General features: G+C 52.6%; 2 protein-coding genes and 1 long non-coding RNA gene across 10 annotated transcripts in view, besides 14 other annotated features; 2 read left to right on the top strand and 1 right to left on the bottom strand.

Moving 5' to 3' along the window:
* Positions 1-18,273, top strand: part of SEZ6 (seizure related 6 homolog) — a 51,536-nt gene extending 33,263 nt beyond the window's left edge. For 2 of the 5 annotated variants that reach the window (NM_001290202.2, NM_178860.5), the window contains exons 4-17: positions 3,226-3,421; positions 9,031-9,216; positions 12,205-12,373; positions 12,507-12,673; positions 13,286-13,480; positions 13,706-13,844; positions 13,957-14,153; positions 15,037-15,231; positions 15,639-15,830; positions 15,936-16,133; positions 16,421-16,459; positions 16,711-16,828; positions 16,917-17,019; positions 17,184-18,273. In NM_001290202.2, coding sequence (NP_001277131.1) covers positions 3,226-3,421; positions 9,031-9,216; positions 12,205-12,373; positions 12,507-12,673; positions 13,286-13,480; positions 13,706-13,844; positions 13,957-14,153; positions 15,037-15,231; positions 15,639-15,830; positions 15,936-16,133; positions 16,421-16,459; positions 16,711-16,828; positions 16,917-17,019; positions 17,184-17,216 — 2,127 coding nt within the window. In that variant the 3' untranslated portion in view covers positions 17,217-18,273. The remainder of the gene's footprint in view (positions 1-3,225; positions 3,422-9,030; positions 9,217-12,204; positions 12,374-12,506; positions 12,674-13,285; positions 13,481-13,705; positions 13,845-13,956; positions 14,154-15,036; positions 15,232-15,638; positions 15,831-15,935; positions 16,134-16,420; positions 16,460-16,710; positions 16,829-16,916; positions 17,020-17,183) is intronic. The other 3 variants (NM_001098635.2, XM_011524315.3, XM_011524317.4) reach the window with 3 other exon arrangements.
* LOC105371716 (uncharacterized) overlaps positions 1-21,576 on the bottom strand; it is a 64,911-nt gene extending 43,335 nt beyond the window's left edge. For both annotated transcript variants that reach the window (XR_001752822.2, XR_007065691.1), the window contains exon 1: positions 19,770-21,576. This is a non-coding gene — a long non-coding RNA (uncharacterized LOC105371716). The remainder of the gene's footprint in view (positions 1-19,769) is intronic.
* Positions 353-1,230: an enhancer, noted in NCBI's record as "H3K27ac-H3K4me1 hESC enhancer chr17:27298966-27299843 (GRCh37/hg19 assembly coordinates)". NCBI's record gives its function as "activates a minimal SCP1, AML or CMV promoter by ChIP-STARR-seq in primed H9 embryonic stem cells {active_cell/tissue: H9 hESC(primed)}" and the evidence as "EXISTENCE:reporter gene assay evidence [ECO:0000049][PMID:30033119]".
* Positions 4,124-4,774: an enhancer, noted in NCBI's record as "OCT4-NANOG-H3K27ac-H3K4me1 hESC enhancer chr17:27295422-27296072 (GRCh37/hg19 assembly coordinates)". NCBI's record gives its function as "activates a minimal SCP1, AML or CMV promoter by ChIP-STARR-seq in primed H9 embryonic stem cells {active_cell/tissue: H9 hESC(primed)}" and the evidence as "EXISTENCE:reporter gene assay evidence [ECO:0000049][PMID:30033119]".
* Positions 5,462-5,551: an enhancer, noted in NCBI's record as "active region_11961". NCBI's record gives its function as "activates an Ori minimal core promoter by ATAC-STARR-seq in GM12878 lymphoblastoid cells {active_cell/tissue: GM12878}" and the evidence as "EXISTENCE:reporter gene assay evidence [ECO:0000049][PMID:35858748]".
* Positions 13,229-13,729: an enhancer, noted in NCBI's record as "H3K4me1 hESC enhancer chr17:27286467-27286967 (GRCh37/hg19 assembly coordinates)". NCBI's record gives its function as "activates a minimal SCP1, AML or CMV promoter by ChIP-STARR-seq in primed H9 embryonic stem cells {active_cell/tissue: H9 hESC(primed)}" and the evidence as "EXISTENCE:reporter gene assay evidence [ECO:0000049][PMID:30033119]".
* Positions 13,730-14,230: an enhancer, noted in NCBI's record as "H3K4me1 hESC enhancer chr17:27285966-27286466 (GRCh37/hg19 assembly coordinates)". NCBI's record gives its function as "activates a minimal SCP1, AML or CMV promoter by ChIP-STARR-seq in primed H9 embryonic stem cells {active_cell/tissue: H9 hESC(primed)}" and the evidence as "EXISTENCE:reporter gene assay evidence [ECO:0000049][PMID:30033119]".
* Positions 20,536-21,157: an enhancer, noted in NCBI's record as "H3K27ac hESC enhancer chr17:27279039-27279660 (GRCh37/hg19 assembly coordinates)". NCBI's record gives its function as "activates a minimal SCP1, AML or CMV promoter by ChIP-STARR-seq in primed H9 embryonic stem cells {active_cell/tissue: H9 hESC(primed)}" and the evidence as "EXISTENCE:reporter gene assay evidence [ECO:0000049][PMID:30033119]".
* Positions 20,536-21,268: a biological region, named in NCBI's record as "H3K27ac hESC enhancer GRCh37_chr17:27279039-27279660".
* Positions 20,859-21,268: an enhancer, noted in NCBI's record as "active region_11960". NCBI's record gives its function as "activates an Ori minimal core promoter by ATAC-STARR-seq in GM12878 lymphoblastoid cells {active_cell/tissue: GM12878}" and the evidence as "EXISTENCE:reporter gene assay evidence [ECO:0000049][PMID:35858748]".
* Positions 21,369-21,418: an enhancer, noted in NCBI's record as "active region_11959". NCBI's record gives its function as "activates an Ori minimal core promoter by ATAC-STARR-seq in GM12878 lymphoblastoid cells {active_cell/tissue: GM12878}" and the evidence as "EXISTENCE:reporter gene assay evidence [ECO:0000049][PMID:35858748]".
* Positions 21,589-21,858: a silencer, noted in NCBI's record as "silent region_8362". NCBI's record gives its function as "represses an Ori minimal core promoter by ATAC-STARR-seq in GM12878 lymphoblastoid cells {active_cell/tissue: GM12878}" and the evidence as "EXISTENCE:reporter gene assay evidence [ECO:0000049][PMID:35858748]".
* PHF12 (PHD finger protein 12) overlaps positions 21,660-27,209 on the top strand; it is a 46,269-nt gene continuing 40,719 nt past the window's right edge. For all 3 annotated transcript variants that reach the window (NM_001033561.2, NM_001290131.2, NM_020889.3), the window contains exons 1-2: positions 21,660-22,283; positions 22,932-23,113. In NM_001033561.2, coding sequence (NP_001028733.1) covers positions 22,218-22,283; positions 22,932-23,113 — 248 coding nt within the window. In that variant the 5' untranslated portion in view covers positions 21,660-22,217. The remainder of the gene's footprint in view (positions 22,284-22,931; positions 23,114-27,209) is intronic.
* Positions 23,159-23,778: an enhancer, noted in NCBI's record as "H3K27ac hESC enhancer chr17:27276418-27277037 (GRCh37/hg19 assembly coordinates)". NCBI's record gives its function as "activates a minimal SCP1, AML or CMV promoter by ChIP-STARR-seq in naive H9 embryonic stem cells {active_cell/tissue: H9 hESC(naive)}" and the evidence as "EXISTENCE:reporter gene assay evidence [ECO:0000049][PMID:30033119]".
* Positions 23,369-23,628: a silencer, noted in NCBI's record as "silent region_8361". NCBI's record gives its function as "represses an Ori minimal core promoter by ATAC-STARR-seq in GM12878 lymphoblastoid cells {active_cell/tissue: GM12878}" and the evidence as "EXISTENCE:reporter gene assay evidence [ECO:0000049][PMID:35858748]".
* Positions 23,779-24,399: an enhancer, noted in NCBI's record as "H3K27ac hESC enhancer chr17:27275797-27276417 (GRCh37/hg19 assembly coordinates)". NCBI's record gives its function as "activates a minimal SCP1, AML or CMV promoter by ChIP-STARR-seq in naive H9 embryonic stem cells {active_cell/tissue: H9 hESC(naive)}" and the evidence as "EXISTENCE:reporter gene assay evidence [ECO:0000049][PMID:30033119]".
* Positions 23,859-23,958: an enhancer, noted in NCBI's record as "active region_11958". NCBI's record gives its function as "activates an Ori minimal core promoter by ATAC-STARR-seq in GM12878 lymphoblastoid cells {active_cell/tissue: GM12878}" and the evidence as "EXISTENCE:reporter gene assay evidence [ECO:0000049][PMID:35858748]".

The raw sequence follows: 27,209 nt of genomic DNA, 5'->3' as shown, positions 1-27,209 counted from the left end.
TGGGTATTTTACCACCTATCTTATAGATTCACGGTGAGGATGAAAAGCACTTAGTACAATACAAGGCTTGACACACTCTATGATGGCAACTGTTGTTACTCTGTCGCTACAGCTTCTCTCTGGTCCCAAAGCAGCAAGATCAGGAAAAAGAAGCTAGAGGTCAAGCCAGAGGTATATGGGGAACTAGGAAGAAAATACAAATTAATTTCTAGTAATACTTCTCTGCCTTTGCTTTCGTGGTAATTTCCCTGTAGTGAGCGTCCTCCCTTCCTCCTTCTCCCAGTGCTCCTCTCTTCAAGGCACTCTGAGACCCACCTGCTTCAGGCACTTTCCCTGAGCCTCTGAGCCCTTCGCTCTCCCCCCGAGGATTCCTGCTGCCTGCATTCAGTGCCACTTAAGGCGGAATTATATGCTGCCTGGCATCTCTCGATAATTACAGATTCCACGTGTGTGAGTCTTGTTTTCCCAACTCTAGAATCACAGAATCTCCAAGTTTGAAGGGACCTCATCCAGCCTCCGCCTGCTGCAGGAATTCCCTGAGGAATGTCCCCAGCAGATGGTCAGGCAGCCTCCGCCCAAACGTGCCTGGGTGGAGAGTTTCTCACAGAGAGGAGACGCCTCGGCCTCCAGCACCCTGCCTTGAGCCTTCTCTTCAGCCCAAAGACCCACCAGGTCTTTCCTCTCAGGCAGGGGTAGGGACCTCTCCCTGCCCAGCTGCCCCTTCTGGAGTCCCCAGGGCACATCTCTTCTCAGCACCCAGTCTGAGGGGCCCTGAGCCTCGCAGCAGCCATATCCTTGGACCTGGCTGGGCTCAGCATCCTCTATGCTTCTCAGCTCACAGGTATCTGATGGGGAATGTCTCTCCAGCAGCCCACACATTTACTCTTTCCACACGTCTTTGTTGAGACTGGCCAGTGAAGAGGGCACTGTGACCCAACATGCCACCCTGGGCTTTAACAGCAAGATGGGCAGGGGCCAGTGGGGAGAGTCTGAAACAGAAGGACTGCTGGCCTAGCCTGGGAGGCAGACGATGCGGCCCTAAGATCTGAAAAGATGACCAGCTTCACCAGGAGGGGAAGAAGGGAAGATATTGCCCCCGCAGAGTCCCATATGTGGATGCCCAGGGGGCAGAAGTGAGGGGTGGTCTGCGGCTGCAGTGCACGTTAATGAGGGCCGCAGAGATACTGGCACCAAATGTGAGCTGGGCAGTTTGGAGCTTGTCCTCCAGGCAATCTGAAATCAGCAGGAGATGAGTTGGGGATGGGAAGTGTTAGACAGACAGAAAGCCATTCTCAAGTGAAAAGTAATGGGCAGGAGGTAATTAGGGCCAGGACAGTAACAAAAGGATAGAGAGGAGGAACCCATTGGAGTATTTGGGAAATAAGACTGGGAAGGATTTGGTGACTCACTGATGCCACTTAACCATCCCAGGTGGTCAACCCTTGAAACCCTGCTTCAGAGCAACATGGTAGGAACCTTGAGCCCATGTAGATCAGTGCTTTTGAGTTGCCCGAGGATCTTGTTAAAATGCAGAGTATGCTTTAGTGGGTCTGAGATTCTGTATTTCCTTTTTTTTTTTGTTTTGAAATGGAGTTTCGCTTTTGTTGTCCAGGCTGGAGTGCAATGGCGCGATCTCGGCTCACCGCAACCTCCGCCTCCCAGGTTCAAGCGATTCTCCTGCCTCAGCTGCTTGAGTAGCTGGGATTACAGGCATGTGCCACCACGCCCAGCTAATCTTTGTATTTTTAGTAGAGACGGGGTTTCTCCATGTTGGTCAGGCTGGTCTTGAAATCCTGACCTCAGGTGATCCACCTGCCTTGGCCTCCCAAAGTGCTGGGATTACAGGCGTGAGCCACAGCGCCCAGCCAAGATTCTGCATTTCTTACAAGTTCCCAGGTGAGGCTGCTGATGCTGGTCCAAGAACCACATTTTAAGTAGCAAAGAACTCCACTAGTTCGTTTTATAAAATGAGGAAACTGAAGTTCAAATAGCAGCATATTTGTCCAAGATCACATGGTTAGGATGAGGTCCCAGATTTCTGGGCTCCCAATCAATCCAGTGTTCCTTCTATCAAGCCATGCTGCTAATTTCCCTCTGGGCAGAGTCCGTCGTTGTCCAATCCTTGTTTGCCTGAATGGAGGCATGGAGCCCAGAAAGATGCTCAAGGGACTGAGGGCCTGAAGATCAGCATGATAGCAGAGGAGACTGTGACAGCCAGGGGAAAGGATCGGAGAAAGAGGCTCAGAAAAAAGAGAGAATCACGATTGACATGCGGAGGGGCATGGTGTAAGGCCCAGCTGACAGTCAGCAGGGGCCAAGTTGGGCAGGGCCTTGAGGGCTAAGCAAAGAGTTTGAACTACATATTATCGGCTTCACAGACTCAATGGGGAGCCACTGGAGGACTTAAACAAGGAAGCACCATGATCAGCAACAGATCTAAGACCGTTAGCTGGCTATAGTTCAGAAAATACTGCTGTAGAGGGAGGAGTGGGTTAAGCCCTACAGGCAGGAAGGCTGGCCAGGAGGCTGCTGCGGTGATCTAGGTGCACAGTAACGGCGATAAGCTGGGGAATGGCAGTGGGGATGAAGAGTAATGAACAGATTTGAGATCCAGTTGACAGGACTGAATGACTGACCAGGTATGAGGGAGGAGGCAAGATGCCAGTTTCTGATTTGGACACCCAGGGAGATAGCAAGATCATTCCCAGGGGAACTGCTGGCTAGGGGAAGACAGTCACCTAGCATGAGGCAGGCTGGGTGTGAAGCATCCAACAGGGATGTCCAGGGGAAGCTGGGCACATGGATCTGATATTTAAGACCTCATACTGCTGACCAGGGCCTCGGACACCATCTGGTTCAATACACCTACCCCATCCCTACTTTACAGATGAGAAAACAGAGCCCAGGGAGGGGCAGGACAGGAAGCAGCTGGTGTATCTGAAAAGCTTGGAGACAGAAAGATGTGTTTACAAACCCCAGTTCTGCTAAGAATCTCTATGTGACCTTGGATAATTTACTTAATCTCTGAACTTCCGGTCCTGTCTCACACTGAGATGAGCAACTCCTGCACTGCTGAAGTGCCCAGCTCAGGGCCTGGGGGCTCCGATGCTCAAGTAGCATTGAGGATTGATCTGCCCGGGGCCTGCAGGATCCTGAGGGCGGCAGGATCCAGGCAGCAGGAAGAAGTCTGACTACTTTGCTTTTCTCTCTCTACTCTACTGACAGGTCCAGAATATCAGCCTCCGGGAAGGGGAGACAGTGACTGTGGAAGGCCTGGGGGGGCCTGACCCACTGCCCCTGGCCAACCAGTCTTTCCTGCTGCGGGGCCAAGTCATCCGCAGCCCCACCCACCAAGCGGCCCTGAGGTTCCAGAGCCTCCCGCCACCGGCTGGCCCTGGCACCTTCCATTTCCATTACCAAGGTAAGGCCTGGGTAGTTGAAGGTGGAACCAGCCCAGACTCGCTGCCCTCCTTGCTGGGGAGGGGGGTCTCTGTGCAATTACATCCTAGAGGGAAGGAGCAGAGAGGGGCTAGTGACACATAGCACAAATGTCCAGTGAAGCTCTGGACAATTGGAGGTAAGTATCGCGTATCTGAAACCTCCAGGATCTTCTCTCTTCCACCCACCACCCTGCAGAGAGCTGGTCTTGACTCAGGATCAGGTAGCCTCTAGGTGTGCCCGTTGTCCCTCATTCATTCATTCAGCAAACTTTTCCTAGGCACCTGCTCTTTGCCAGGCTTGTGCTGGACACTGGCAATGTCAGGATGCACCAAGGTCCTTGTCCTCAAGGAGTTCTTTCTCAGGAGGAGGCAGACACTTAAACAGGCAATAACAATAGAAGCCCTCCCCAAATGCAAGAGGGTGAAGGTCAAAGGGATCTGACAATGACCATCTGCTTAGCTGCCAGACTGCCCTTCCTGAACTGCTTCACCCACCTTGACCTGGCCCATGCCCCAATCAGCTCAGAACACCTCTGGAAATAAGGGAGCAGCACGATGTAATGAAAAAAAATCACAGACTCAGGCAATGGGCAGATCTGTGTTTGAATCTCCTCATTGGCTGTTGACCTTGGACAAGTCATTTGACCTCTCTGACCCTTCTGCTGTAATATGAAACCAAAACACCTACCCCACAAAGTCATGGTTAGGATTAAGCAAAATGGTACATGTCAAGTGCTTAGCACATGCTTCATTAAGGAAACCAGTATTACATGACTGGCAGGATGGGAGAGGGAGGAAAAGGGGCTCAGGACTTTGCCGCTGTCTCAGCTGTGTCCCTCCTACCCATCCCCCTCTCTGAGCACAAAGTCAGCTCGATCCTTTGCATGGGTTAACTATTTGAGACTAGGGAGAACTAATACGGAAATAATTGGTGTGAACAATCAAGGGATTGTCTTGCATTGTCATGGACCACTTCCGCAGTCCTGCAGGGGACCACAGCCGGGCAGAAGAGCCAGCACTCTGGAGATGGGGCTGCTTGGAACCCCACCTAAGGAGCACTCACCCTACCCTCACCCCTCCACCCAAACTACTGGAGCAGTCTGGCATAGCAGCAGGGAGCCTGGAAGTGGATGGGGCTGTAGAGTGGCTTGGCAGAGGCAAGGGGCCAGCTGAGGCAAGGGTGAAACGTCTAGGCGGCCCAGCTAGCCTCCCTAATGGCTCATCAATCCTCCCTGGCAGCAGGCATAATTTCACGCCATGATAACCTTCTCTCTTGCTGCAAATTCCTTTGCACAAAACTCCGGACCTCCTCTCTGTCGGGCCAGACAAAGGTGGCTGAATGGCAGTGAGCTGGAGGCCCAGCAAGGGGGAGCAACCTCCAAGGAAGGGCTGGAAGAGCTGGCCTGGTCCTGCCTCCTTCTCAGCTCCCAGAAGCCCTCCCTCGTCAGCCCAGTTTTTGTCAATGATCAGCTCTTGCCTTAATGAGTGTAATTCCCCTAATTATAGGCTGTAATTAGCCCTGATCCCAGAGATGGGAACAGGAGGAGCGTGTGCTCACACGCAAATCTCCGTGGGCTAGAGAAAGAGGGTGCCAGAAGAGGGGGTGAGGGGCCTAGTACCCACACCTGTGCTCGAGCTGTCCAAGCTGATGTTGGAGGTCACAAGGATGAGCCCTCACAAGGGCCTTATCGCAAGACCAAGTCAACTCCCCTCCCACAGCCTCAGGCAGGGTGGGGAGGCAGACGGCCCTGACAGACATCCCCCTCCTGCATCCTCAGCATTCCTGGCACTGGACTTGGCTCCAGAAACAGACTCCAGTGAGAAAATAACTCAACAGATTGCAGTGGTTCAGGCTCCCCGGGAACGGTTGTCATGGCAACAGGAGGAAGCTCATCCTGGGAAGTGATACTTTAACTACTATGGAGTCTGGGGGCTTCATTGTCTGCCCCCAGCCTCCTACAGTTCCAGCCCAGTTCCACCCCATTCCAGCCCAGTTTCCTCATCTGTGAAACGAGGGCCCTCCCTTACTAGAGTGGTGATAAGAACTCAAAGGGGAAGATGTAAGGGGAAATGCTGGGCCTGAGCCTGGCTCATGGTCTAGACCCCACTAGGCGTCAGTTAACCTCTTAACCTCCTCCACTCTGGGTGTGGTGCCCCACACCCCTTTCTCCATCCCATCCTGGACTGGGACCTCTCCCCAGGTCACTGTGAGTGGCTGCCCTGGACAACCACCCAGAGCAGGCTTGTCTGTTACTCTCAGATTTCTCTGACCCCTGAACCCAAGTTTCTACTTCAAATGAGGAAGCAGGTGGGGTGGTGGTGGAAAGCAAGAAGGCTTCAGAGCCCAGGAGCTTCAAGTTCCTGGTCTAGTACTTCCTTGCTGTGTGATGAGGGCACAGGGTCTCTCTGAACCTGTTCTCATCTGAAAATGGGCTCATAGCCCCTACCTTGCCTGCCTTTCTCCCAAGCATATTGTAGACATCAAGAAAGAAGAGTGTGAAGGCATTTTAGAATCTGGAAAGTACATGTAGATGTGAGGTGCTATTATTAATCAAGATTACAAACAATAACAGCAGGCTGATGTCTTAGGCATTTGTTCAGGAACTGCACATATGTCTTCTCACTTAACCTCCACAACCTTGGATGTAATACTGAAAGTGGGTGGATAAATGAGGCAACTGAGGCACAGAGAATTTAGGTAACTTGCCCACGGTGGCACAGCACGTAGGGAAGAAGCCTGCATTCAAACCCAGGCAGTCTGACCCACAGCCCACCTGCTAAGCACTGCCCTGTACTGCCTGCCAAGCACAACTAGCCACTTACCGACCATTCTCTCCAGAGCCCCATGAGAGACAGAAGAGGAGGAATTCTCCTCCCACTTTCACAGACATAGTAACAGGACAGGTGAAAGTCATAAAACTCAAATTTCTGGACCCTGGTCTGCCCTGAGACAGCCTCTTTTTCTTTTTCTTTTTCTTTTTAATGGGGGGGAAGAAAGAGGGCCCATTTTTCTATTCACACAAAGGCACCCAGGAACAGAGGCCTTGCATGGACCTCTCCTCCCATTTACCTGATACCATCAGTGGGGCTGCCCCCTACCCCAAGACCCAAGATCTTCAGTCTAGACAGTCCTCACTTTTCCTACCACCCCAAGGGTTATCAGGCTCTGTAGCACAAGCCTCTCAGCCTCTCCTTGACCCCTCCAGGCCTTTGCTCTCACCTCTTAGACGCAAGCCAGGATCTTCACTTTTTTTTGAGAAAGAGTCTCACTCTGCCGCCCAGGCTGGAGTGCAGTAGCGCAATCTCCACTCACTGCAACCTCTGCCTCCCGAGTTCAAGCGATTCTCCTGCCTCAGCCTCCCAAGTAACTGGGACTACAGGCGCGTGCCACCATGCCCAGATCATTTTTTTTTTTTTTGTATTTTTAGTAGAGATGGGGTTTTACCATGTTAGCTGGTCTCGAACTCCTGATTTTGTTATCCACCTGCCTCGGCCTCCCAAAGTGCTGGGATTACAGGTGTGAGCCACCGTGCCCAGCTGGATCTTCACTTTTATTTTATTTTATTTTATTTTATTTATTTATTTTATTTTTTGGAACATGGAGTCTCACTCTGTCGCCCAGGCTGGAGTGCAATGGCATGATATCGACTCACTGCAACCTCCATCTCCCCGGTCCAAGCGATTCTCCTGCCTCAGCCTCCCGAGTAGCTGGGATAACAGGCGCCTGCCACCATGCCCAGCTAATATTTTTGTATTTTATTAGTAGAGATGGGGTTTTGCCATGTTGGCCAGGCTGGTCTTGAACTCTTGACCTCAGGCCATCCGTCCACCTCAGCCTCCCAAAGTGCTGGGATTACAGGCGTGAGCCACTGCACCGGGTTGATCCTTTTAGCTACCACCCCAGCTTGACCCCAGGATCGGGATATGCCAGATTGTTTTGTAGGATTTGCTGCCACCATTTGGTCAAATTTGGTATGACAATTCCAAAGCTACCAGCTTTCCCAGGGCAACTTGTTCTTTCCCCAACTTCCATGAAGGCAGTGCACTGCCTCCCTACCCTCGTCCCCATCTTTTTCTTGTTTGTTTGATGTTGTTTTTCGAAACAGGGACTCACTCTGTCACCTAGGCTGGAGCGCAGTGGTGCAATCATAGTTCACTGCAGCCTTAAACTCCTAGGCTCAAGCGATCCCACTTCAGCCTCCTGAGTAGCTAAGACTACAGGTACACATCACCATGCCTGGGTATTTTTTAAAAATTTTTTACAGAGATGGGGACCTCACTATGTTGCCCAGGCTGCTCTTGAACTCCTGGCCTCAAGCAATCCTCCCACCTTGCCCCAGCCTACCACCATTCTGGATTTTGTTTGTTTGTAAGTTTGTTTTTTTGAGATGAAGTCTCGCTCTCGTCCCCTAGGCTGGAGCGCAATGGCACGATCTCGGCTCACTGCAACCTCCACCTGCCGGGTTCAAGCGATTCTCCTGCCTCAGCCTCCCGAGTAGCTGGGATTACAGGCGCCTGCCATCACGTCCGGCTGATTTTTGTATTTTTAGTAGAGATGGGGTTTCTCCATGTTGGCCAGGCTGGTCTCGACCTCCTGACCTCAGGTGATCCGCCCACTTCGGCCTCCCAAAGTGCTGGGATTACAGGCATGAGCCACCACTCCCGGCTGTTTGTTTGTTTTGAGATGGAGTTTTGCTCTCGTTGCCCAAGCAGGAATGCAATGGAGTGATCTCAGCTCACCACAACCTCCACCTCCCGGGTTCAAGCGATTCTCCTGCCTCAGCCTCCCCCGTAGCTGGGATTACAGGCATGCGCCACCATGCCCGGCTAATTTTGTATTTTTAGTAGAGACGGGGTTTATCCATGTTGGTCAGGCTTGTCTCGAACTCCCGACCTCAGGTGATCCGCCCACCTCGGCCTCCCAAAGTGCTGGGATTACAGGCATGAGACACCGGCCCGGCCACCATTCTGGTTTTAAAAGAAGTCCATGGCCATTGGCATCAAGCTTTTTAGCATTTCTCAGTGAATACTGGGAAAGCCTTTACTGTCTGATTTCACTCTTTGCTGCTGCAATTCATATTTATTCCCTAAAGGAAAAACAGTATCAACACTTTACATCTGTATAGGTTTTTCACTATTTCAAGTGCTTTCATGTCTACGAGTCATTCAATAAGCATTTCCTGAAGATATAATATCAGCTGGGTACCAGAGATACCAAGCTAGATAAAATACTCTATCATTTCTTCTCACAGTAACCCTGTAGGTAGGCTAGGATTTTAAACCTCATTTAACAAATGAGGAAACACACACACAAAGATTAAATAACCTGCCTAAAGTGTCATAAAGCTTGAGCCAGAACCTAACCCTTCTAATTTCCAGCTCTGTCTGCTCCACTAACCAGCCCAGGCTGCTGGAAATATCACTGGTAACCTTCTAGGGAGGAGATTGGAGTTGTTTTGGAACTCCTAGTGCTTCCTCTGGCCCCAAATGACACCTCCAGGCAGACTGAGGCAGACCTCCCCCAACCAATGGCCCAGCTCCCGCCCCCACCCTGCACACATACACAGTGTCACCCGTTCTCTGTTTGCAGCCTATCTCCTGAGCTGCCACTTTCCCCGTCGTCCAGCTTATGGAGATGTGACTGTCACCAGCCTCCACCCAGGGGGTAGTGCCCGCTTCCATTGTGCCACTGGCTACCAGCTGAAGGGCGCCAGGCATCTCACCTGTCTCAATGCCACCCAGCCCTTCTGGGATTCAAAGGAGCCCGTCTGCATCGGTGAGTGCCCAGGGGAAAGGGCTCAGTGCTGAGCAGAGAAGTGAGGTGGGGGCTCATCCCTGCTCTCTGTTGCTCTCTGCCACTTTCATTTGCTCTTCATAAGGAAGCCAGAAAATGGCCATGCACCTCAGTGGCATTCATCCAACCTGCACTTATTGAGCATCTACCAGATGAAGGCACCACAGGTACAAACAGCTGAATTAAACAGGGACTCTGCCCTCAAAGAACCCACATTTCCAGGAAAGGGAGAAAGGAGAAAGCACAGAGGTCACCAATTTCCAGGGGAAGAAGTAAAAAGCACCAATGAAAAGACATAAAGTGACCTGGGAGGCAAGGGCGCAATCATTCTTAGCTGGACATTTAGGAGGCTTCCTAGGGGAGGAGGCACTGCAGGTTTGACATTTAAATGGAGAGAACAACGTGGGCAGGGACATAGAGGCAGGCAGGTGAGGGTGTTTAGGGACACAGAAGACAGCCAGGTTTGGCTGAAGCCTGAGACATGTGGCAATGGAAGGGCCTTGAGTGTCAGGGCAAGATACAGGCTGAGGAGCTGTTGAAGCTTATGAGAAGGGAGGGCCTTAGAATTCCTCAGGAGATGACTGGGAGGCCAGCCAGGCAAGACAGTTTGAACTTAGATTGTGATTTGGGGAATGAAGCAGAGGGAAGTTCCAGAAACTGATGGGAACTGGGAAAAGGGAAAGGGGACTCCCAGGTCTGGTCCTGAGTGATCAGGTCTGGGATTGCTGCCAATGAAAAGGGGCTTGTTGGAGAAAGGAAGACTCAGTGTTTGGTTTGCAGTATGAAAAGCAACTTGGGCTTTTTTTTTTTTTTTTTCTTCGAGACGGAGTCTCGCTCTTTCACCCAGGCCAGACTGCAGTGGCGCTATCTCGGCTCACTGCAAGCTCTGCCTCCCAGGTTCACGCCATTCTCCTGCCTCAGCCTCCCGAGTAGCTGGGACTACAGGCGCCCGCCACCACTCCCAGCTAATTTTTTGTATTTTTAGTAGAGATGGGGTTTCACCATGTTAGCCAAGATGGTCTTGATCTCCTGACCTCGTGATCCACCCACCTCAGCCTCCCAAAGTGCTGGGATTACAGGCGTGAGCCACCGTGCCTGGCCGGGCTTTTTCTTTTTAGTGGGTATGGGCTTAGGCTTTTGAATCTTTTTTTTTTTTTTTTTTTGAGATGGAGTCTCCCTCTGTCACCCAGGCTGGAGTGCAGTGGCACGATGTCCGCTCACTGCAACCTCCACCTCCCGGGTTCAAGCGATTCTTCTGCCTCACCCTCCAGAGTAGCTGGGGTTACAGGTGCATGCCACCATACCCAGCTAATTTTTTTGTATTTTTAGTAGAGATGGGGTTTCACCATGTTGGCCAGTCTGATCTCGAACTCTTGACCTCAGGTGATCCACCTGCCTCGGCCTCCCAAAGTGCTGGGATTACAGACTTGAGCCACCATACCCAGCCATGAATCTTATTTCATTCTATAAATTCTTCCTGGGTGCCAGGCACAACCAGAGTTGAATAACACAGATGCTTTCTCAGCCCTCGAGGATCTAGCGGGGAGGCTGGCAAGCAGCTCAGTGCAGAGGATGCTACAATAGGAGTAAAGGCAGAGTGGTGGAGGAGCCCAAGGGATGGAGAGCTACTCCAAGATGAGAGAGGAGGCAAGCAAGGCTTCCCAAGGAGACAGCATGGAAGGATTTCAGAAATATTAGTTTGGGAAAGTGGGGTGGGTTCCTGGAACTGCATATGCAGAGATGTGCAGGCATGAAATAGCACAAGATAGTGAGCACACAGTGAAGTGTGCCTGAAGCAGAGGGTATGCGGGGAGAGGGGACTGAAGCTGAGTCTAGAGAGAGGTGGATTCATAAAGGGCTTGAACACCATTTTCAGCTTTAACTCTATCCTGAGGGTAATGGGGAGCCACTAAGCAATTTTCAGCAAAGGATGGGGCATGATCAGATTTGAAGGGCAGTTCCATTCTGAGACCAAGCTGAGGCAGGTCTGTCCTTTCTGCAGAGAAGAAACTTGCCCCAGCCCCCCAGGAGCTTTACTAGGTTACAATATTCTGCTGCCTTGAGCATTTGGAGACAAAGGTCCTGTGTATTGGTCATGGCAGCCTGGTCTCTGAGAGTTGGGTAGGTCAGAGCTATGTGTCCAGGAGAGGAAAGCACTGCCTGGAACCAGCCATACTCCTCTTGCCTGAGGACCCCTCTCTGGCCTCACATAACCGCCAGGAGTTTGTGGCCAAGTAACCCAGCAATCCTCACAGATAGCCATAGGCAAACTGTTCAGTCTCTCCTTAGAAAGAGAGGACAGCCCCAAGCCAGTAGGGTCAGCACTAGAAAGGTCAGTCAGCCCAGGAACGGCAGTGGTAGTGAGGCCGGGGCGGATGGCATGCACATCAGGTGTTTGCCGCCCGGATCTAGTGCTAACCCCTTTTTACATTCATTCACTCATTTTATTCAACCAACGCTGAACACCAACTCTGTGCCTGGCCTGGAAAGACCTGGTTCCTGCTCCAGGGGGTCCTAGTTAAGGGACATACCCAAACAACTGATTTTAGGAAAGTGGCATGAGGTAGAAGTAGCAGATGTATCCAAGAAGGTTGAAGCCCACAGTAAGGGCTTTAGTAAAGTCTACCTAGGGAGAGTCGGCCTTCTAGAGAAGTCAGCAGAGAGGGAAAGTGACTTACCTGGGCACACAACCAGGCAGTGATACATCTACCCACAGTCAAGAGAGTTACCCTGGTCAGTCCCAGGGGTGTGAAAGGTTAGGCGGCAGGATTCTGGAGCTCAGGCTGCCTGGAGATGCAGGTTCACAGGGCTAAAAGGTTGACCTTCAGGACGATGAGGGCCAAGATGGCAGGGAGGCAAGGTCCCCGCTGCTCCAAGCAGAGGATATAGGGCTGGGATAGGGAGGAAGGCATGTTAGGCTGCCTGGGTTCAGGCAGGGGCCTAGCCTACGTCCTGTCCTGGTCTTAACAGCTGCTTGCGGCGGAGTGATCCGCAATGCCACCACCGGCCGCATCGTCTCTCCAGGCTTCCCGGGCAACTACAGCAACAACCTCACCTGTCACTGGCTGCTTGAGGCTCCTGAGGGCCAGCGGCTACACCTGCACTTTGAGAAGGTTTCCCTGGCAGAGGATGATGACAGGTGAGGGGCTGTCCTAGTGGAATGGGAGTGCCTGGCCTGGTAATACCCTGCTGGAGGGACGCTACCCAAGCCTGGGGCCACACCCCATCTGGGTCAGCCACCAGCCTACATAGCTGCCACTCTCCTGGTTCAGGCTCATCATTCGCAATGGGGACAACGTGGAGGCCCCACCAGTGTATGATTCCTATGAGGTGGAATACCTGCCCATTGAGGGCCTGCTCAGCTCTGGCAAACACTTCTTTGTTGAGCTCAGTACTGACAGCAGCGGGGCAGCTGCAGGCATGGCCCTGCGCTATGAGGGTGAGCCTGCTGGGGCCTCACTGGGGGTGGCGGGTCCACGGGGATGGGCTCGGGCCTAGGGTCTTTCTCCCACACCCTACCCCTCTCTGCCTCCATGCTGTCACTCCTTCCAAGTCAGCCCCTGCTCACTCAGTACTTAGGCCCCCTTTCCCTGCCCCTCTCTTTGGGTCCGGGATCCCTACCACAGCTTTGCAGGAAACCTCTGCCTGGACCCAGGCCCTATGGTCCAAGGGAATAAATTCTCCAGATTTTGAAAAGCAAAAAAGGCCTCAACCCTTAAGAAAGAATTGCTGTAAGAGACATTCTAGAACCATTTATGCATGCATGCATTGATTAATTCATTCAAAAAACATGTATGGAGTACCTTCTGTGTACTAAGCACAAAACCAGGCAGTGGGAACAGGATGGTAATCAAGATGGCCTCCTGAGCATAATAGGGATGGATGCTCTTGGCTGTCCCTCCTCCATCACATTCCTGCTCCAACCCCAGGACATATATTTGTCATTCGTACCCAGGAAAAGAAAGGCTCTGGGGAGGGAAGTAGGGGGATGCTTGCCCACTGTGTTTAATACCAGTCAAGGCTGAGCTGGGCTGGGACCTGTGGTTTACAGCCTTCCAGCAGGGCCATTGCTATGAGCCCTTTGTCAAATACGGTAACTTCAGCAGCAGCACACCCACCTACCCTGTGGGTACCACTGTGGAGTTCAGCTGCGACCCTGGCTACACCCTGGAGCAGGGCTCCATCATCATCGAGTGTGTTGACCCCCACGACCCCCAGTGGAATGAGACAGAGCCAGCCTGCCGAGGTCAGTAGACACCAGTGGATGGGCCTACCGGGCAAAAGGCAGGGTCATACCAGGAGAATAGCAGCAGAGCCCGGGGCCACAGGGGCCCTGTGATATGCGTGGTTCAGGCTTCCTCCAAGGAGGAGGTGGGGGGTCCCAGCAATTTGTGGGCACTCCTGCGGGCAGATGGTAAGCAACACCATGGTAAGCTTGAAAAGACCCTTCTGGGCCTCCTCTGCCTTCCAGCCGTGTGCAGCGGGGAGATCACAGACTCGGCTGGCGTGGTACTCTCTCCCAACTGGCCAGAGCCCTACGGTCGTGGGCAGGATTGTATCTGGGGTGTGCATGTGGAAGAGGACAAGCGCATCATGCTGGACATCCGAGTGTGAGTGCCTACCGGGTCAGGCCGAGCCAACTCCTGAGGTCTGGGGATATCCCTTGTCCAGCCCATCCTCGGGCCCCCAGGCCGGCTCTGCCCTGACGCTCCTCCTTCACAGGCTGCGCATAGGCCCTGGTGATGTGCTTACCTTCTATGATGGGGATGACCTGACGGCCCGGGTTCTGGGCCAGTACTCAGGGCCCCGTAGCCACTTCAAGCTCTTTACCTCCATGGCTGATGTCACCATTCAGTTCCAGTCGGACCCCGGGACCTCAGTGCTGGGCTACCAGCAGGGCTTCGTCATCCACTTCTTTGGTGAGCTTGTCCCTACCCCACTCAGAGTGCAGACAGCAAGCCATGGCAAGCCAAAGAGGCTAGGGCAGTGAGGTGCCTGAATGCTGTCTCAGACAAGAGTAAGCTGGAAAAGCACCAGGGATCACCTGGAGGAAGCTAGTCCTGTTCTCCATCTGCCCTGAGGGAGAGCCAGAATTCTATAGTGGCAAGAGGGGTTTGGGTAGGCAGCAGAACAACTTTCTTTTTCTTCCTTTTTTTTTTTTTCTGAGACAGTTTCCCTCTGTCACCCAGACCATGGTGTGATCTCTGTTCATTGCAACCTCCACCTCCTGGGCTCAAGCGATTCTCGTGCCTCATCCTCCTGAGTAGCTGGGATTATAGGCACATGCCACCACGCCTGGCTAATTTTTTTATTTTTAGTGGAGACCGGATTTTGCCATGTTGGCCTGGCTGGTCTCGAACTCCTGGCTTCAAGTGATCTGCCCACCTCAGCCTCCCAAAGTGCTGGCATTACAGGTGTGAGCCACTGCACCTGGCCAGAACAACTTTCAAACAAAAATGGGGGAACTAAGGAAAGGTGCTGGCTTCTATCTTTCTGACAATCTTTCATAGAAGTGACGATTTCCCTCACCCTACCTGGCCCCATCTCTCAGGCCTAAGGAACTGGTCAAGGTGCTTTTGGAAGTAAGGCCAAAGCTTAAATGCTAACCCTGGAATCTAGGAGACAGAGCAATGTCAGGCAGTCAAGGAGGGGCCCTTGAGCAGGGAGGAATGGATCCCTGAGCCCGCCCAGGACAGTCTAGGTCCAGGACAAACTAGCAGGAGCCAGAGTGCCCTCAAGGTGAGGGGGACAGTCACTTTGGTGCTGGCCGAGGGCCTGCATCTTGTGCCTCTGTGCCCCCAGAGGTGCCCCGCAATGACACATGTCCGGAGCTGCCTGAGATCCCCAATGGCTGGAAGAGCCCATCGCAGCCTGAGCTAGTGCACGGCACCGTGGTCACTTACCAGTGCTACCCTGGCTACCAGGTAGTGGGATCCAGTGTCCTCATGTGCCAGTGGGACCTAACTTGGAGTGAGGACCTGCCCTCATGCCAGAGGGGTGAGTATACCTGTTCCCCACGCTCCCCTTCCCAACACAAACTCCAAACCTCTCTCCTGGATTCTGAACCAGACTGTAGCTGTTATTAGCTAGTATCTTCAAAGTTCCTTCACCTCTTATAGCCTCAGTTTCCTCATCTGTGAAATGGGGATGATACTTTTCATGGGGTTATCAGCCACGTACTCTAAGTATTTCATTCCTGGTAGATGGCCAATCAGTTTTTATCGAACCTAATAGATGGGAAGGGGACAAATGGGGGGACACACTAGCATAATGGTAGGGACAGATACGTAGGGGGTAGACCCATACGACATGAAGAAGTTAGCTGGCCTGGAACAAAGCCAGGGTGGATTGGCCTCTGCTTAGTTCTCCTTGGGCTACTTCTCCCCATCACCCCCTACCCATAGTGACTTCCTGCCACGATCCTGGAGATGTGGAGCACAGCCGACGCCTCATATCCAGCCCCAAGTTTCCCGTGGGGGCCACCGTGCAATATATCTGTGACCAGGGTTTTGTGCTGATGGGCAGCTCCATCCTCACCTGCCATGATCGCCAGGCTGGCAGCCCCAAGTGGAGTGACCGGGCCCCTAAATGTCTCCGTAAGTGTCAATTGAGTAGGAGGGAAAACCTCTAGCTGGAGATAAAAGATGCTGCCCTGGAGGCCAAGGGCATGACACCCTCACTGCACTCTGCCTGCTTTGTAGTGGAACAGCTCAAGCCATGCCATGGTCTCAGTGCCCCTGAGAATGGTGCCCGAAGTCCTGAGAAGCAGCTACACCCAGCAGGGGCCACCATCCACTTCTCGTGTGCCCCTGGCTATGTGCTGAAGGGCCAGGCCAGCATCAAGTGTGTGCCTGGGCACCCCTCGCATTGGAGTGACCCCCCACCCATCTGTAGGGCTGGTGAGTGCCCTGTCACCCCTCAAAACCCTCCCTGGCCCATAGAGCTGCTCTGGCAAAGATGTCCAATGTTTAGAACCAGAACCACCTGCCCATGCCACCTTCATGTTACCCTTGGTCTCCCCAGTCTCTGCCAGATCCTTCTGACCTGGCATCACCAAGACAAATGCTGGAGTGGCCTCTCCTTGGACAAATCCTTCCCATGATCATCCCACTACCTCCTCTCCCTGCCTTAGTGGTTTGGCCCATTGGGCTCACTCACTGCCCTTGGCCCTCCCCTTTTGTTCCAGCCTCTCTGGATGGGTTCTACAACAGTCGCAGCCTGGATGGTAAGTCTCCACCCTTGAGGCCAGAGAAGTGGTCTCCCTGGTCCTGGTTCTCACGGCTCCCAGGTCATGGGCTTCCCAAGGAGGGAGGGCAGAGAAAGAGAGAGGTTTGGGCCTAGCAGGTTAAAAAGCTCCTTCCCTACACCCAGCCAGCTAGAGGGAGCTGGTAGTCAGATGCCCTTGGGCAGAGGTGAGAGAATATGGGCTCCAGGTGACAGAGACCTCTGCTCCAGTCACACCCTCTGTGTCTTCAGTTGCCAAGGCACCTGCTGCCTCCAGCACCCTGGATGCTGCCCACATTGCAGCTGCCATCTTCTTGCCACTGGTGGCGATGGTGTTGTTGGTAGGAGGTGTATACTTCTACTTCTCCAGGTGAGTCTGGCTTCTCTTTCTGCTCTGCATACCTGCATACCTCACTCCTACCCAGTGCTCCTGACTTGCAGGCTTCTCTGCCCCACAGGCTCCAGGGAAAAAGCTCCCTGCAGCTGCCCCGCCCCCGCCCCCGCCCCTACAACCGCATTACCATAGAGTCAGCGTTTGACAATCCAACTTACGAGACTGGAGTAAGTAACCATGCCAGCCTTGCCACCCTATCCAAGACCCAGTTCTTTGCTTCTTTGGGCAGATAACCCTGAGGGTCCTGCCAAGCCCTCTCACTTTTTCCCTTTTCCTAGGGAAGGTGAATTATGGCCTGGCAAACCTAATACAAGTTTCCAACTCCCAGCAGTCTCTTTCCTTTGCAGGAGACGAGAGAATATGAAGTCTCCATCTAGGTGGGGGCAGTCTAGGGAAGTCAACTCAGACTTGCACCACAGTCCAGCAGCAAGGCTCCTTGCTTCCTGCTGTCCCTCCACCTCCTGTATATACCACCTAGGAGGAGATGCCACCAAGCCCTCAAGAAGTTGTGCCCTTCCCCGCCTGCGATGCCCACCATGGCCTATTTTCTTGGTGTCATTGCCCACTTGGGGCCCTTCATTGGGCCCATGTCAGGGGGCATCTACCTGTGGGAAGAACATAGCTGGAGCACAAGCATCAACAGCCAGCATCCTGAGCCTCCTCATGCCCTGGACCAGCCTGGAACACACTAGCAGAGCAGGAGTACCTTTCTCCACATGACCACCATCCCGCCCTGGCATGGCAACCTGCAGCAGGATTAACTTGACCATGGTGGGAACTGCACCAGGGTACTCCTCACAGCGCCATCACCAATGGCCAAAACTCCTCTCAACGGTGACCTCTGGGTAGTCCTGGCATGCCAACATCAGCCTCTTGGGAGGTCTCTAGTTCTCTAAAGTTCTGGACAGTTCTGCCTCCTGCCCTGTCCCAGTGGAGGCAGTAATTCTAGGAGATCCTAAGGGGTTCAGGGGGACCCTACCCCCACCTCAGGTTGGGCTTCCCTGGGCACTCATGCTCCACACCAAAGCAGGACACGCCATTTTCCACTGACCACCCTATACCCTGAGGAAAGGGAGACTTTCCTCCGATGTTTATTTAGCTGTTGCAAACATCTTCACCCTAATAGTCCCTCCTCCAATTCCAGCCACTTGTCAGGCTCTCCTCTTGACCACTGTGTTATGGGATAAGGGGAGGGGGTGGGCATATTCTGGAGAGGAGCAGAGGTCCAAGGACCCAGGAATTTGGCATGGAACAGGTGGTAGGAGAGCCCCAGGGAGACGCCCAGGAGCTGGCTGAAAGCCACTTTGTACATGTAATGTATTATATGGGGTCTGGGCTCCAGCCAGAGAACAATCTTTTATTTCTGTTGTTTCCTTATTAAAATGGTGTTTTTGGAAAAAAAAAAAAAAAAAAAAAAAAAAGCAATGGCCAGGTGAATGATGCTTTCTTGGAGGGACGGGAGGTGGGAGATAAATGGGATATGGACTTCAGGACCAGAAGGCATGCTAGACCCACCAATCAATCATCTTCAGATTTTATTTTATTACTACTGTTTTTGAGATAGGGTCTCACTCTGTCAACCAGGGTGGAATGCAGTGACTGGATCACGGTTCACTGCAGCCTCAACCTCCAAGGCTCAAGTGATCCACCTCAGCCTCCTGAATAGTTAAGACTATAGATGCAGGCCACCACACATGGCTAATTTAAAAAAAAATTATTGTAGAGATGGGGTCTTACTATGTTGCCCAGGCTGGTCTCCAACTCCTGGGCTCAAGTGATCCTCCCACCTCAGCCACCCAAAGTGCTCAGATTTTATTTTAAAAGAAATTATTGCATGCAGTTGAACAGGGTCCCCTGTACCAAAAGGGACAGTGCAACAGATAGCAGGCAAAATCAGAGGCCCCAATGGCTGATGTTACAGGGATGTGGGAGCCCAGGAACCCCACTGCACATCCACCCAATGCCTTATTTCCTCCTCTTTGCCAGGTCCAGAACTACAGGCTGGCACACTCCCAAATCCCTTCTCAACGCCACTGATGCCCTTCTCAATGCTAACTAGGCTCAGGAAGTCTGATGCATCTCTCCTTCCCCTTATTTCTAAGTAAGCAAGGCTTGGGAAATTAGAATAGGAAACAGAGACTGATCCCCAAAACATGAAGCCCTAATCTGGCTTGGCCTTACAAAACCCTTAGATTGTCAGGAGCAGTGGTAATGCAGCTTACGGGCTTGGATCCTAAGTTAGGCAAAGGCCCTAACCATGGGCTCTGGAAAAAGGTGGCTGGGAGGATGTGCTCAAGTTTGCCCCTTCCCTATGGGCCCCAGCACCTACAAAGATGGAAAGTGCCCAGCGTTGGCCCCCAGTATGCACATTCCATGCTGAGAGGTGTGCCCTGCATTGCTGCTCTCCAAGAGTGACAGCAAGAGGCAGGCAACAGGAAATTATGGGAGCTCAGAAACCAGTAGAGAAAAATCCATGAAAGAAATAATAGCAGCAACCAGCACCTTCTGCTTCTACAGTCTTCCAAAAGGGAAGTCTTGACCACTCATGCTGCCTACCCCTGGCTCTAGCACAAGCCACCTTGAAGGATGGAGAAGCTCTTGTCCATGCAGAGTGCAGTGCCTAGATTAGCCACAAGAGGTCACTTCCAAAGGCGTCTGTATCCCACCTGCTCGCCCCTCAATCCCCCCTCAACTGTCAGGGCGGGAGCTCTCCAAGGTGGGAGCATTCCTTGGCCCCACTGGCCTAACCTCATCCTGCAAGTTCCAAGAGGAAGAGGTGTGAAGTTTCCCTGGCTCTTGTCAACAGAGCCAAGTCTTATTTCCCTCATTAGCCCATAGTTCCTATTATCAGCTGCAATTGATGGTGTTGATCAAAGCAAAGCCTTGTCCAGTGGATGGATGCCAATGGCTTACTTACCTGTTCCATAATGCCTCCAGGTTAACACAGCAGCACAGCTGGGCCCTGAGCAGTAGGAAAAAAAGCCAAAGAGAGAGGGCACATGAGGTTCTAAACTCTGAGAGCCTGTGACATAAAATATAGCCATAGGAGATAGAAAATCTTGCCTCTTTCATACAAACAATCTAGCTCAGCCCTCCCCTCTCTGATGGCCACATCTCTGGTCCACAGCTCCTGAAGTTTATTGTTGGCTCAGAATGGTAGAAAGCAGAGGGCAGCCAATTCACATGACATTCTCCACCCCACCATCCATGACCTTATCATTCTTTCCAGGCACCAAGAGGGTCATCAGAAAAGCGAAAAGTCAGGAAAACAGAAACCTAAGACTCCATACACTGACATCCCCACTCTGTCTAACTCATCCTCCTTACTGTCCCCAAAGCAAGCATAGTAATTCCTTAGACACAGTCGACATAGTGTAATGGACAGTGTCTGGCTTGAGAATCAAGAAATCCAATTCTTAGGTCTGCCATAAATGCACTATGTGACCTAGGCAAATCACTGCGCCTCCCTGTGCATCTGGAAAAGAGGGGATTAAATCAGATGGTCTCTAAACCCTTGCTAGTTTGACGACTCTGAGAATGCTGTGTCCCTTAACATTAAAAGTGGGCCGAGCACAGCTACGAAGCAACAATTCCAACTAAACCCCTAGTGTCAAGCACAACGATACAATTCTCTTTTCCACTGCTTCATCCACCATCAGGCAGCAATAACCAACCGCCCATCTCTGACGGCAATACCAAGGGGAGGAGCGGGCGCCCTGAAAAGGAGCATGAATCCCCGCCCAGAATGCGAGGCGGGCCCTCAGACTACAAATCCCGGCATGCAGCACTGACGCTCTCAAAAGTATCCCTTCCTGGCCGGCAAATGACTCTTCCCCGGGTCTATCCTACCATAGAGTGCATCGCACGCACATGGAACTACAGTTCCCACAATCCATCAGACCTATCGCGATTCTTGCTCCCAGGATGCAATGCGCCCCCGTTCGCCCTTTAGACCCTTTGGCGTTGCAAACTGGGAGTTGGAGTCCGGGGTACGCAGGTAGCTGGGCGTTGTCAGGATTACAAACTCTCCACTTTAGGCTTCCTCTTGAAGAGCAGATCTCAGGGACAGTGGTGAAGAGAGGGTGGTAACGGGCAGGCGGAACTCTCCAGTGCCACCACCACGCAAGGCAGGGATGCTGAGGATACAATTAACTGATAAAATTATCTGTCAGGAGCGGGAGAGAATTAGGAACCACAGTCATCCCACACGCCTCCAAAAGCGTCATTTTCTGTCTCAAATGGCTTTTCTCTTTACCAATATGGTGGCCTGGTCCAGCCACACCCGATGGTAGAACCAAACGGTCAAGTACAACATCCCTAGGAATACTGCTGTCACCGACAGGCGACCAGCTCCATCCAACACCACACCTTGCTCCTTTCTGTTCATGCCTGAGGACTCCAAGGGCATGATAGCCCATATCCCATTACCAAAATGGCGAAAGGAGCAGCTTTCTTGTGAGGGCCTGCGGAAGGCAATACGCCTGCGCGGGAGGCGTCTGTGTTATGGAGAGGAAGGGGGAGCACCCCCAACACGCCTGCGCAGAACAGAGTCGTCTTAGTTTGCACACAAACACCAATGGATGAACAGTCCCTAGCTTCCTGCGGCTGCGCCTTGACCCCTACAAGCTTTCTCAAGCGCCTGCGCGAGACCTCAGGTCCCGCCCTTTTGTCTCAGTGCGCTGGCGCAGGGCAGAAAGGTGGGGCTTCGGTCCTCCAGACGAATGCCAGCGCGGCTGCGCGCTGGGGGGTACTCCCTCACCGCGGCTGCGCGGGAGCCAGGCCGCCGGCTGTCACTGCGGTTGCGCGCGGCGAGCGCCGATCCCGGGGCGCCTGCGCGGGTGGCTTTGCGGGCGCTCGCGGTAAGTTTGCGCCAAGTGCGCGGCAGCCGGGACGCAGACGGCGGCGGCGGCGAGAGGCGGAGCCCGGGGACCACCCCCCATCACCCTCCCCCCAGTCACCTCACGTACCACAACCTCACGTAACCTCTCACCCCCCCTCCGATACCCCCAGCCCCGGGATGGCAGCGCCCGCCAGCCTTCCCGGCCGGACCGGCTGTCGCCAGTGCCGGCTTTAGCCTGTGGGACTAGGCCCCGCCGAGGCCTGACCCCCGGAGCCGGGACCCACTGTGCAGCCAGCAGCCGGGCCGGGACTGAGGGGCCGCTCCCCCCTCGCGGCCCGTCGGGAGGACGCTGTCGTCCCGGGGACTGGGGGCCGGGGGGTGGGGGGGAGCCAGGGCGAGGAAGTCGGGACCCGTATTGGGAAAAAAGCGGGGCCGGGGTCAGGAGCGCCCCCTCCCCTCACCTCCCCCCTCCCCCCGGGGTTGGGGGGGCCGGAGCAGAGAGCACCCAGCCCGGGAGGTGGATGAATGTGGGAGAAAATGGAGACCAAGACGATCGTGTACGACTTGGACACATCAGGGGGGCTGATGGAGGTAAGAGTGGCCCTCCTCATCTCCTTCCTCCAGCGCCGGGAGGGAACCTCCGCCCTCCGCCCCACAAAGCCAGTCCTAAACTCGAAGCGCCTAGATGGCCGAGGGAGGGGGATTCTTCCTCACCTAGCCTCTCCCTCCCCTCTTTGCAATTTAGGGGGCTGAGCTCAGCCTCCGAGGACGTTTGCAGCAGTTTCACCTACCCGCCGCCCTCGATTCGCTCTCCCGAGGCGCCAGCCCACTCCATCTCGTTGCACCGGCAGGCCTCCCCACCCCCTTCTTGTTGGCCCCTTTGTGCTTCCCCCAGCACGTCCGGGTACCGGGCTTTGGGCCTCTCCCGAGCGGGTCTTTGGAGTCCCCCACTGTCCATACAAGGAAGTGGCAAGAAGGGAACCGCGCACCCTCTTCCCATCCCCCTACCCTTGATCCTCCCCATTTGGAAGAAGCTGTTCTCGTTGTTGTGCTGCAGGAACGCGGTTAGGGTGGGCTCCCCCTGGTTCCGGGGGCTGAGAGATTCTGGGAGCAGCCTGGATGGGAGGAAGAAGGACAAAAGGGGGGAGAGGGGTGGGTGACGGAGAAACCGCGCCGGGGGGGCGACGGACCGCCCGGGAGCTCCGAGTGTGCACACACGCCGTTTGTATGTGTGTGCAGCAAATCCAAGCTCTGCTGGCTCCCCCCAAGACGGACGAGGCAGAAAAGCGCAGTCGGAAGCCTGAGAAGGAGCCCCGGAGAAGCGGCAGGGCCACCAACCACGACAGCTGCGATAGCTGCAAGGAAGGTGGAGATCTCCTGTGCTGCGACCACTGCCCGGCTGCCTTCCACCTCCAGTGCTGGTAAGGTCTGGGGACCCTTTTGGAGCTTCTTGGCGGACCCTTCTCTGCGCATTCCTTCACCCGGCCTGCCCCTGACTGCCGAAATAACGGGCGCTTGCAGCCGCTAGCTGACTTTCTGCAGCTGCCGGGGCGAGCACCTCCCCGCCCCCAGGTGTCCGCCGGGTTCTGGCAGTTTAGCGGGGAGGAGCAGCGGTGGGTCCGGACCCCGAGGTGGGGGTTGGGACGAGTGAAGAGAACCCCATATGGGATTGGAAGTCGCTGGGGAGCCGGGACAGAGCCGGCCGGGGACAGCCGGCAGTGGCGGGGGAGGAAGGGGAGGAGCTCCGGGCCCAGTGCCGCTTGCCTGCCCGCGCGCCCGCTGCCCTCGGGGCTCCTGCCCGGCCGGGATCTCCTCGGGGTGGGTGCGTGGAGCCCTCGGCCACCTGAGTTGCCCTGGTCCAGACCCCGGCAACCGGGCGCTTGTGGCTGTAGAAAAAATCGTGGAGGGTGTCTCTCGAGTCCGCCTCTTCTTTGCCTCTCTGTTTACAATATGGCGACCTGCCTTTAAATTATATTTTTATTCTCAGCGCCATTTTGGCTGCATATATGATTTGCAAACGTCTCTCGGGGGAACGGTGGGGACAGCCCCAGAGTCCTTTCTGCAGAAGCTCCTCGGGGGCCCCGTCTGGGATCTCGCCGCTTTGATCCCCTTTCTCTGCCTCCGCTTGCCCCCTGTTGCCTCTCAGAGCTGCCTTCCTTCCTCCTCCCTCTTCCCTCCTCCCTCCCGGCGCCGCTGCCTCTTAGGAAATCGGGCCGGGTTAGACAATTAAAATTGCCCTTGGGCGCCGATTTCATTTCTCCGCTCCGGATCGGCGAGCCCTTCGCTGCAAAATTCTTTGCTGCCAGAGGGAGGATTGTGTGCGGTGGCACTAGAAAGGCATTTTTAAGGAGCTGAGAGCTGGAAAGCCGTACGCTTTTTCCCCCTTACTGGACATGAGAGGAGGGGAGAGACCGAACCGAGAGGGAGGGACCTGAGTTGATCGCCCGCTGCGTGATCCTCCTCAGCGGCTCAGCCCAGGACAATCCGGCAAAGAAGAGTTTAAACTCCATCTTCTGCCGGCCGAAATCACCTCTGCCCTCCACAAAAATCCCACATCTGCGGCAGCAAACCCAGATTTCGTCTTGTTCTACTGGGTCTCGTTCTGTTGTTCTGCAACAGTTGACTGAGGCAGGGGTTTGAGAGAGGAGCCAGACTGGAGAGAGGAAAAGGGGGCTGTTCTGTGTTCCCACCAGTTGTTTGATGTTGCCTTTTTTAGCCCTCTTTTTATTTTGTTTTAAGTGAAATTTCACCGAAGGTCTCTCAACAGTTCCATTCACGTTCCATCTCTCGGTTTGTGGAGTAGTGTCTACTGTATATTTGTACTAATTGCAGGTTTGGGAACACTTATTAGACAGATGACTGATACTGAGCAAATTAAGTTTATGGTCAGAAGTTATGTAGGAAACTCCCATTACCATTCCCAAGATACTTTTGCCCAGGAGGGCACCCCATCCCAGCTTGTAAAATTGCTGGGACAAAAATGATTATCGTAGAGGAAGTTTTGCTGCTGGCTTTAAAATTTTTATTATGAAGTGACTAAGGGTCTGTGGTTTTTAGCCTTTACTTCCTATAAGGTGTAATCCACCTGGAGAAGATATTTCTGGTCACATTTCTTTTGCTATTCTTAGGAGAAATTTGTGCCTGAATATACGTTGTGTTGCTTACCAGTTATTCCCAGTTGCTTACATTTTTTTAGTGTGTTTGTTTGGTATGTATACCAGGACTGAGTTGTAGACTTCTTGATTTAAAATGTGGGCTTACGTCCTACTCCTAGGATGAAATTGGTGTTAACCATGATTGCTGACATGCATGTTGAGTGAGAATTTGATAAGCTCTCTTATTTGATAAAGCTGAAATTGTTTATTAGAAACCTCAGGCATGGGAAAAGTGTGCTGTCTGTTTTGCCTGAGATTGGGCTTTTAAACTCTAAAACCTAACCTCTGAATTTTTTAATTAGACGAGTCTAAAGTCTTGTCAAGTTGTAACAATTAACAGTTTCCACTTTAGATGAAAGGAGAAAGAAGGAGGGACTCTTTAGCTGTTGGTGAGATTCAGACTTGCCCAGACTGTGCATTTCATTGAAATTTTTTTTTTTTTTGAGGCATTGAATGGGAACTGGTAATCAGAGATTTGTGAATGTGTAAATGAAGTAGTGCTTGTTTCACATCTCCAATTCTCCCTTTGAAGATGTCAATACTGAATGTACCATTGACTTATCTGAGTTATTATCTAAATCACAAAGCATTGTAGATATTGGTGCAAAGGCAGGAAGTCTTTTAAGTAGGTATTCCCTAGACGAATTTCATTTAGTGAGGCTTATCTCACTTTTCTGCGTCTGAAGCCACACTCTTTCCACCAAGAGTGAAGTTTTTTTTGTTGTTGTTTTTTGTTTGTTTGTTTTTTTCTGAGACAGGCGTCTTCGCTTTGTCACCCAGGCTGGAGTGCAGTGGTGCAATCTCGGCTTATTGCAACCTCCACCTCCCAGGTTCAACGGATTCTTCTGCCTCAGCCTCCCAAGTAGCTGGGATTATAGGTGCCCGCCACCACACCCAGCTAATTTTTGTATTTTTAGTAGAGACAGGGTTTCACCACGTTGGCCAGGCTGGAGAGTGAAGTATTTTATTAACTCAATCAGAGTAGTTAGATCAAGTATTTAATGTCTCAGAACATTTTTATTCTTGAATGTGTTTTCATGAATTTGTCCCAGCCGGGTGCTGTGGCTCACGCCTGTAATCCCAGCACTTTGGGAGGCCGAGGAGGGTGGATCACGAGGTCAGGAGTTCGAGACCAGCCTGGCCAACATAGTGAAACTCCGTCTCTACTAAAAATACAAAATTAGCCGGGTGTGGTGGCACGAGCCTGTAGTTCCAGCTACTCAGGAGGCTGAGGCAGGAGAATCACTTGAACCCAGGCAGCAGAGGTTGTAGTGAGCCGAGATCACACTACTGCACCCCAGCCTAGGTGACAGAGTAAGACCCCATCTCAGGAGAAAAAAAAAAAATTGTCCTATTACTGCTTAATTTTATCATGTGAGAGTAAGGTTATATTTCCTCTGGCTTCCCTTTTAAACTGGCTAAGACTGAATTATTTAGGTAGGCATGATAATGATAATTTTCCTTCCATACGGAAAGTACAAGAGTAAGGTTGAAGCCGAGTATGGTGGCTCATGCCTGTAATCCCAGCACTTAAAGGGGCCAAGGTGGGAGGATCGCCTGAGGCCAGGAGTTCAAGACCAGTCTAGGCAACATAGCAAGACTCCATCTCTACAAAATTTAAAGAAAAAGTGAAATTTAAATTTTGCAAATGCTGTAGGTCTTAATTGCAGTGCTGCTGTGGTTCTCTATCCAAAGCTCTGTGGGATAAGTCTTTTTTCAGTCTCTAGTATTCCTTGCCAGTCTGCCTCACTGTGAACGGAATCCAGTACAAGTGTTCCAAAAGTGGTTCTAGGCAAACTTTACCTCCCGGGCTTGGTAACACAGCTATAAACCACAGGAGATCTTTCTAAGATAAATAGTAAGGAAATGACTAGTCAAATAAGCTGTTTTAATTGTTGTCTTTTCTCAGGAGACAATGCTTTGTATGAGGCACGTCATCTCTTCCCAGTTAGACTGGGAACCTATTTCTGGGTTTTCTGTAATGATTCTCTGGAATGAATTGTCTTGTGCTCAGTACCGTGACCTCACCAAAGAATTAAGGTTGAAGAACTGATGTCTTTTTGATTAAGTGATAGTGTAATCATTTTATCCAAGTTTAACTGGTTTATCAATTATTCAGAGTGATAGTAGGGGTTACTAAACCTGTCCCTAGAGAATTGGAAAGAGATGTGTGTGTGGTGTTTTTGTTTTTGTTTTTCTGAGACGGAGTCTTGCTCTGTCACCGAGGCTGGAGTGCAGTAGCGCAATCTCAGCTCACTGCAACGCCTCCCGGGCTCAAGCAATTCTCCTTTCTCAGCCTTCTGAGTAGCTGGGATTACAGGCGCACGCCACCAGGCCTGGCTAATTTTCTTGTATTTTTAGT

This window comes from Homo sapiens, chromosome 17 (genome assembly GCF_000001405.40).
Source record: "Homo sapiens chromosome 17, GRCh38.p14 Primary Assembly".
Classification (NCBI taxonomy): Eukaryota; Metazoa; Chordata; class Mammalia; order Primates; family Hominidae; genus Homo; species Homo sapiens.
This window is presented reverse-complemented; position numbering and strand designations above follow the sequence as displayed.